The 9,336-nt window shown below is 41.9% G+C and overlaps 1 annotated feature.

Annotated features, from left to right (window-relative positions):
* Positions 9,056-9,105: an enhancer, noted in NCBI's record as "active region_12915". NCBI's record gives its function as "activates an Ori minimal core promoter by ATAC-STARR-seq in GM12878 lymphoblastoid cells {active_cell/tissue: GM12878}" and the evidence as "EXISTENCE:reporter gene assay evidence [ECO:0000049][PMID:35858748]".

Genomic DNA, 9,336 nt, shown 5'->3' with positions numbered 1-9,336 from the left:
CAATCTCCAAGCTATATTGTGAAGTGAAAATTACAAACCCTTACTGAAAAGCACTAAAGAAAATCCAAAGAAATGGAAAAGCAAAGCGTGGTCTTAGATAGAAGACTCAATATCATTAAAAAAAAAAAAAAACTCAGTTCTCGCTCAATTAAGCTATAGATTCCAAGCAATTCCATTCAAAATCCCAGAAGGTTGAAGGTGGGTGAGGTAGGAGGGGACTTGTCCTACATCATAGGAAGGCTTATTATAAAGACATAATAATGAAGATACTGGTATTGGAACAGATGTGATCAAGTATATTAGTTCAACATGATAGAAGGCCCACCCGACAAAGACCCATGTGTGTATGAAAACTTGATCTATGACAAAATTGGCATTGCACGTATATCAATGGGGATGGGATGGATCAATTCCTAAAAACACACAAGATGATGGGGAATCCACAGAAAAAGAAACGTAAACAGCCAAAAAGTGTAAGAAAAGATATACAACCTCACAGTAATCAGGCAAGGAGAAGACACTGATTACCATCAGATTGGCAAAATTAAGCCATCTGATGATGTCTGTGGAGCTGTTACTGGAAAGGGTCCCAAACCAGACCCCAAGAGAGGGTTCTTTGATCTTGAGCAAGAAAGAATTTGGGATAAGTCCACAGGGTAAAATACAAGCAAGTTTATCAAGAGAGTAAAGGAGGCCGGACGCAGTGGCTCATGCCTGTAATGCCAACACTTCAGAAGGCCGAGACAGGCAGACCACCTGAGATCAGTTCAAGACCACCCTGGCCAACATGGTGAACCCCCATCTCTACTAAAAATATAATTACCCCTATTTACCCCTATTCCTGCCTAACCTCCCAGGAATACAGCCCAGCAGGTCTCAGCCTTATTTTACCCAGCCCCTGTTCAAGTAGCATGCCTGTAATCCCAGCTACTCAGAAGGCTGTGGCATGAGAATCACTTGAACGTGGGAGATGGAGGTTGCAGAGAGCCAAGATTGCGCCATTGCACTCCAACCTGGGCAATAGAGCAACACTGTGCCAAAAAAAAAAAAAAAAAAAAGAAAGAAAAGAAAAGAAAAATGGCTATTCCATAGGCAGAGCACCCCCAAAGGCTGCTGGTTGGCTATTTTTATGGTTATGTCTTGATCATATGCTAAACAAGGGGTGGATTATTCATGAGCTTTCTGGGAAAGGGGCAAGAATTTCTTGTAATTGAGGGTTTCTCCCCGTCATAGGCCATACAGGGTAACTTCCAGACGTTCCCATGGCCTTTGTAAACTGCCACGGTGCTGGTGGGAGTGTTTTTTTAGCATGCTAATGTATTATAATTAGCATATAATGAGCAGTTGGGACAACTAGAGGTCACTTTTGTTGCCATCTTGGTTTTGGCAGGTTTTGGCCAGCCTTTATACTGCATCCTGTTATATGAGCAGGGTCATTGTGGCCTGTATCTTGTGACCTCCTATCTCATCTCAGATCCCGGGAGGTTAAAATGCCTTAACCTCCCAGGAATGTGGCCCAGCAGGTCTCAGCATCATTTTACCCAGCCCCTATTCAAGTTAAAGTTGCTCTGCTTCCAATGCCTCTGACATATTTCCCCCCTCCTTTTTACAAGAGGACCACTAATCCTAAGGGTTGTAGAGGTAGGAAGATTCCCCTTCTGTAGCTTCTTCAGGCTAAATAGGAGTAATGATATTCTCATCTAACTATTAAGGTCTTTTGTATTCAGGGTAGAGAGGAACTCAGTCAGAAAGCATCAGCATACTGACGGCCATTCATAACTCTGAGTTCCAACAAAAGGTGATATCTGGAAGACTGGCAAATGTTCAATTTAAGAAAACGGCGAGTAAGCTTATTCTGCATTCCTACACAACGAGTACAACAGGAATATATTCCACAATAGTAAAGCAAAATAAGTAAAATTATCTGATATGGTTTGCATCTGTGTCCCCACCAAATCTCATGTCCGATTATAGTCCCCAAAGTTGGAGGTAGGGCCTGATGGGAGGTGACTGGATCACTGGGGCAGTTTCTCATGAATGGTTTGGCCCCATCCCCCTTGGTCATGATAGTGGGTGAGTTCTCGTGAGATCTGGTTGTTTAAAAGTGTATGGTACCTCCTCGCTCTCTCTCTTTCTCCTGCTCCTGTCATGTAAGAGGCCTCTCCCCCTTTGCCTTAGGCCATGACTAAAAGCTCCCTGAGGCCTCCCCAGAAGCAGATGCTGCCATGCTTCCTGTACAGCCTGCAGAACCGTGAGCCATTAAATCTTGTTGCTTTATAAGTTACCCAGTCTTGGGTATTTCTCTATAGCAGTGTGAGAATGGATTAATACTTTATCCCAAATAAATTAAATAAGGCATTCCATCAACTGGGCAACTGTTGGAACTAAGCTGATATGGGGTTGCTAACAGATTCCAATATGTGCCCTGAATTAGAATACTGATCCAGATATTTCTTATGTTACCCATCCCTATTATTTGTTCTGAGCCATGGCCAGAGATCACTGGTTGGTTCACAGAAATAAGCAGGGTCAGTCTAGACTGCAGAAAAAAAAAAAAAAAACAATGAATGAGACTAGAATCTAATAACAGGTGTACCATAGTTTTTGAAACCTAATTTTTCTCTCTCCAGTCCCCATTTTTATTAAAAACAAATAATGGTAGGACTTATTTGTTTGAAAAATAAACCTTAGTCTTATTATACTTGGCATGATCATTTGCATGAAGTGCAGTAAGAATAATTATTCACCATATAGGCTCTTTTTACAAAAAAATGGCTTTGATGGAATCTTGTTCCATAAGGAATCTTATATTTGACTTTTTAAAGCCTTGCCCAGCCATGGGTTTATGCCTTCAAATACCTGTATGAGTTAGGTAAATTTCTCTCGTCTCAAAGTCCCAATATAACTTAGGGCTCCTGAACCTGTCACAAAGTGACATTCTTTACTTACCACATGGCAGGAACCCTGTACAGGGACTGCATAGACAAGGTATAAAGCCAGTTTTTCCAAGGGCCTTTTATTAGCTCTATAAGTCAACTTTGATTCCTTAAGGCAGTTTTTTTTATATTTGAAAGCACGCCATTCCATTCAAAGCCTTAGTAAAACCCAATTTCTCCAATTGTGTCCTGTTACAAAAGAAAACAGATTCTTACTGCACTTATGCAAATAACTATTAATATATAGCCATAAGTTAAGAATACTCACAAATAGTTTTCAATTTTTGGAGAAATCAGGTAGAGAGAAAGAAATATGCTCCAAATTTTGTTTACAGGAGTGTATTTTACTCAACTGTTAAAAGCTGTAAAGAGTTCAAAAGAAAAGTTTGGCCGGGCACGGTGGCTCACGCCTGTAATCCCAGCACTTTGGGAGGCCGAGGCGGGCGGATCAAGAGGTAAGGAGATCGAGACCATCCTCACTAACAGGGTGAAACCCTGTCTCTACTAAAAATACAAAAAATTAGCCAGTTGTGGTGGCGGGCTCTTGTAGTCCCAGCTACTTGGGAGGCTGAGGCAGGAGAATGGCATGAACCCGGGAGGCGGAGCTTGCAGTGAGCCGAGATCACGCCACTGCACTCCAGCCTGGGCGACAGAGCGAGACTCCATCTCAAAATAAAAAAAATAAAAAATAAAAAAGTTTGCTCGACTTGGAAAACAAAACAGAAAGGAACAGCAATATTTTATGCAAAAAGTCGTAAAAAGATTATTTCAGTCTTTCATTAGTCTATACAATTAATTTCTGTTTTGCTCAATATTTAAGAACACATTAGCTTTCCAAAAGAGTCTTGGAAGCTTTTTTTTCCTCTCTATTTTAATGGCACACTTTCCAAAGTTATCAGACACTCGCATTTAAGAGTAATTGTCAGCATCCTATAGCTGGTTATAAACCTTCTTTTGAAGAGGATTAAAACAAGACAATAATTGTCTCTGAATGACAAAAAAGTCTTAGGATAGCCACAGTCAAAGATGCAATTGACAAGGAAATTTCATTACTTCTGTAGCATACAATTTTACATAACAATTATAATTATTACTGATAACATACACTAAGTCACCAATAACATACACCTAGGTCATTATAGGAATTTCCCATAATTTTAGAATGCATACCAATAATATATTTATACAAATATGGTCTAAAGAAAGCCAAACACCATTTCATACTTGATAATGCTTCCTGTATGATTTTAATATACCAAATAAGCCAAATAAGTCTCTTTTGGACTTTAGGGTTTTTACCATCTAAAATGATTAATCAGGTCAGAAAAAGACATATTTAGAATCTGATTTTGGAAAGTTCGTCAAATATCAAAAGTTTAAAACACTTGATATTATAACATAAAATTCCAGGTCACTGTAAGTCATTTATTTAGCCAAAATGTTAACTCAACAATTTAAAAAAGGCAAAAGGCTTTACTCATTGATAGAGGGAAGATTTAGCTCTTCAAACAATCTTTTCTTTCCCTTCTTTCTCCTGTAGTTTATTTAAAAGGTAAACAAAAATCTTTCATTATCTTTTAATATTACATGAAAATCTTGTTCAAGAGAGAAAGCCAAATTTCATCTTTGCATGAGTGTACTATTGATGTCAAATTCAATTCCTAGTAAAACTTTACAGACAAATTTTCCTAACTTCAATCAGTTTGACCATAATGTAAGATTTTCATAAAGCTTTTATAACCCTTTACAATTTTTTTTGTTAAAGAGTAGACCAATGCTCTAAGAAAACCCTGTTGTGCTTTTATTCCAATGTTCAATTTATGGAAAAACCAAATAATACTCCTTTAACTTTAGCCAATATGTTAACACAGAGAATTGCTTTTACAAGATTAGACTTTCACAAACCTTCCACGACTTGCTTAGACCTTCCGCTTTCTCCTATCTAAGAACAACTCTTTAAACTTCCAAACCAGGCAAAAACACCCTGCCTTCCCATGCCTTCTTATAATCTTTTACCAAACACACATTATACTTTCCTTACACACTGTGCATGTAAAAGTGTTCCTCCAGTAACCTCAGTTACATATGGTACAATGTTAACTCTTAGCAACTTTTATTTTTGGCGAAAAATTTGGTAAGTGATTTTATTTGTGTACCAGGTGTAGAGCTTGGGGCACCAGACAAAAGTGCAGATAAGGTCTGACCCCTTCCAGCATAGCTAGGGGCATGGCTAACTCCATATGTTCCCAGGCCTTACATAGACGCTAATGGCTCCAAAGAAGGTAAATTGAACAATTATCAAAAGTCAGAGAAGTAGTTTAGTAAACCTAGTATCTGACCTGCCTAATTTAGACCAAATGTCTAAATTTCAAAGACATTTTTATTTTACCAATAATCTTTAAAACTGCCTTGCTTTTCCAAAGATGACTAAAGTCATGTGAACAAAAAGGCATTAGCATTTTAATTTTTCTGGCAAAATATTTTATTTAAGTGCTTATTTTTATTTAAGCCAATTAAATAGAGCTCTTTTATATATTTTGGTTGTAAAACATGACTCACAGGGATGGTACAGACCAAGAGAAAATACCCCTCCATGGTCACAAGTCAAGCTCCCAAGGACATAAAACAAGACGAGGGGGAATCCTCATCCAGTTTTTGTTTCAGTGACCTGAAGCAAAGTTGTCAACTGACCAGTTTGCTGGGCCAGCTTGAATAGTGGGCTTACAGGGGTCCTAGGGCCACATTCTATCCTATGATACCCCTTTTATGACAGAATGACACAGAAAGCCAAATTCATAGCACAAAGTACACCAGATTCATCACAGCCTAAGACTAGCCTCACAAATCCTTTTTCCCATTCATCAAAACCTTGCAGAGGAGACAGTGATTTTTACCATTCACTCAACTGGTTTGCATAGAGAGAGAGAGACCAAAGGCCTGACTGGTAAGAAATTCTTACCCTTTTGCCAGCATGCCAGGTTTCTGGGATCCCTTTCCCTAAGCAGCCCTCGTGACCCTGCTCACAGCACCATAACTGTGGGGGCCAAGCCACATCGCAAAGCAAAAATCACCCTTTTCCATTTCATGGAACCATAGGAAAAGCCTCTCAATTTTGCAAGATGCTACACAACAAGTTGCATGGAGGAATCGAATCAACATTTTCCATTCTGGCCAGAACAAAGTGCACTTGACAAAACACAGACACTAGCCACCCCCCTCAGCACCCAATATCGACCTGGCAAGGCTCAAAACTTCCCCCATTGGCCCCTGTAGTGTTTAATCCATTCAAAGTGGGGGCGGAATGACTGCCAACCAGGAGTTTCAACAGGTGGTTTTTGGGCAAGATGGAAGAGTAGATCATCACCCAGAGTGACAGAGAAGACAGACAAGGGAAAGGCGAGAACGAGAGAGAGGAAAGGGAAGGGAGAAGAGTGTTGCCTGTGGTGGGTTGCAGAGGTGAGGAGCTCACAGAAGCCAGAGAAAGACCCATCCATCACAGTGACACTGAATCAAAAGTTCAGACAGCTGCTTGTCAAAAAGGGATCTTTTCCAGCAGTCCCATCAGCTCTCAAGTTTTCCCCTTTGGGGGAGGAAAAAAAGCTCCCCAGGTCCCATGATCCTGCACATGCCTAATCTTGTCACCCACAGCCATCAGCAAAGAGGGCATGGCAAATTAATCCAAATAGAATGGCGGTTAACATCCTGCAGTGCTGAATCCATTTTTAACCAAGAGGGCTCTTACTAAGGGTGGCCTCTAACATTCTGAAGTTGAGCCTTCAACCCAAGTTTGAACAAGCATTCTTGTTCTTTACAAAGAGGGGCCTCTAACTCCCTGTGTCTTAGGAGGGACTCTAACTCTCCTAATTTGGGCCTCTAACCCAATTCCATCCATTACCCTGGATAAAATACCCCACCATGTACCCAAAGTTGGTCAACTGGTGCTGAAGTCTATTTCCCTTGGGTCAGAGGTCTCTCCAGTGTTGTCCCTTCATGGTTTCTCAGCAAGATGTTATCAGAAAGGGGTTCCAGTCCAGGCCCCAAGAGAGGGTTCTTGGATTTTCCACAAGAAAGAATCTGGGGCAAGTCCGCAGAGTAAAGTGAAAGCAAGTTTATGAAGAAAGTAAAGCAATAAAAGAATGGCTACTCCATGGGCACAGCAGCCACAAGGGCTGCTGGTTGGCTATTTTTATGGTTATTTCTCGCTCATATGATAAACAAGGGGTGGATTATTCATGAGTTTTCTGGGAAAGGGGAGGAGATTTCCTTGGAACTGAGGGTTCTTCCCCGTTAGAACATCTAGGGTAACTTCCTGACGTTGCCATGGCATTTGTAAATCATCATGGTGCTGGTGGGAGTGTCTTTCAGCATGCTAATACATTATAATTAGGGTATAATTAGCAGCAAGGACAGCCAGAGGTCACTTTCATTGCCATCCTGGATTTGGAGGGTTTTGACCAGCTTCTTTACTGCATCCTGTTTCATCAGCAGGGTCTCTGTGACCCGTATCTTGTAACCTCCTATCTCATCCTGTGACTAAGAATGCCTAATTTCCTGGGAATGCAGCCCAGCAGGTCTCATTTACCCAGCCCTTATTCAAGATGGTGTTGCTCTGGTTCGAAGGCCTCTGAGAGAGCCACTGGATCTCTCAATTATTGCATACAGTTTTATTTCATTTTATAAAGGTTAAAATAGACAGAATTAAACAATATATTGTTTAGGGATACATACCTATGTGCTAAAATTATAAAGTAAGGCAACAGAATGATTAACACAACATTCAGTATTGTGGCTACCACCTCTTGGGGGTAGCAGGGAGTACAGAACAGGAAGAACCTGGAGAGTTTTAAAGATGCAGGAATAATGTGTTATTTCTTAAGCTGGAAGGCACATGTGGATCTTTTAGAAAATAAAAGATTCAAATATAATTGTCACATGCGTCCATGTGAAGAGATTCCACCAACGGGCCTTGTGTGAGCAACAAGACTGTTTATTTCACCTGGGTGCAAGTGGGCGGAGTCCGAGAAAGGAGTCAGCAAAGAGTAGTGGGATTATCATTAGTTCTTATAGGTTTGGGATAGGTGGTGGAGTTAGGAGCAATTTTTTGTGGGCAGGGGGTGGATCTCACAAAGTACATTCTCAAGGGTGGGAAAAATATTACAAAGTACCTTCTTAAGGGTGAGGGAATATCACGAAGTACATTATCCTAAGGGTGGGGAGGGTGTATTGTCATAAGGTCAATTGATCAGTGAGGGTGGGGCAGGAACAGATCACAATGGTGGAATGTCATCTTTTGTGGTTCTTCAGTTGCTTCAGGCCATCTGGATGTATATGTGCAGGTCACAGGGGATATGATGGCTTAGCTTGGGCTCAGAGGCCTGACAATAATGAGTATTATGTGAGACATGGTTGGGACTCAGTTTAGCATGACAAGAAACATTAATGAATTCAAGAAAGGTTTGTCTCCTCTCCAAAATCAAAAACCAAAAGTGCATAACAGTGTTTAGCACATTTCTATTTAGTTAAAGGTAATTTAAGATACGTGTTTATGACTTGTTTGGATACCATATAACATCTAGTGATCGCCTCTGGGCAGGGAATACAGAACGGCAATGGGAGGCTTATTTTTCATTGCGTACCATTTATATAATTTGAATTCCTCCTCTTGTGTATCTTTTACTGAACGGAAGGTTTTGAGAGAGCTGGGGGAAGTAGCTGGTATCAAGCAGGAAAGCTGAAGGTGCAGATGGGCAGGGGGCTGGTGCACCCTTCTGCCAAGCTCTCCTGCCAGAGGCTCCACGGCCACCAGGCCTTTCTCAGAACTTTGGGATGGAGGAGGGCGGGGCCGGGGAAGCCTTTTAACAGAGTGCCCTAAAATATCTCGGGGGCTAGGGCTACGGAGGGGAAAGGAGAAATCAGAGACCCTTGTTTGGCAGGTTTGTCAACTGCAGATTTTTTGCAGGGAAACACCCCACCGTCCCCACCCCAGGACACTACAGCCTTAGACCTCCCTGATCCTGGCTTTGGCAACTGGTCAGCAGCACTCTGGAGGCGGCTGTTTTGAAGGGCCAAGGAGAGGGGCTGCCTGAGAATGAGGATGGCAGAAAGGGGCCCACGGTTTTCCGCCTCCCAAGACTACGAGGGTCGGGAGGCCCATGTAAGGGGGCCCTCGCTCGGAGAATGAGAACTTCCCTCCCTAGTAGCCTTCACCCCCCTCAATGCCTCCCACCCCAAAAGATCTGCTGGGCCCACGTTCCAGCGCAACGCGGTGGAAGACGGCCCTCATGTGCCAGTGCGGACCCTCGCGCCCCTCCAGCCTGCAGCCAGCCGGCCGCTCCTCCAGCGCGCAGGCGCAGGACGGAAAAAAAAAACACAAAAAAACAACAAAAAAAAAACCCAAAAA

Source organism: Homo sapiens, chromosome 17 (genome assembly GCF_000001405.40).
Source record: "Homo sapiens chromosome 17, GRCh38.p14 Primary Assembly".
NCBI classification, from domain to species: domain Eukaryota; kingdom Metazoa; phylum Chordata; class Mammalia; order Primates; family Hominidae; genus Homo; species Homo sapiens.
This window is presented reverse-complemented; position numbering and strand designations above follow the sequence as displayed.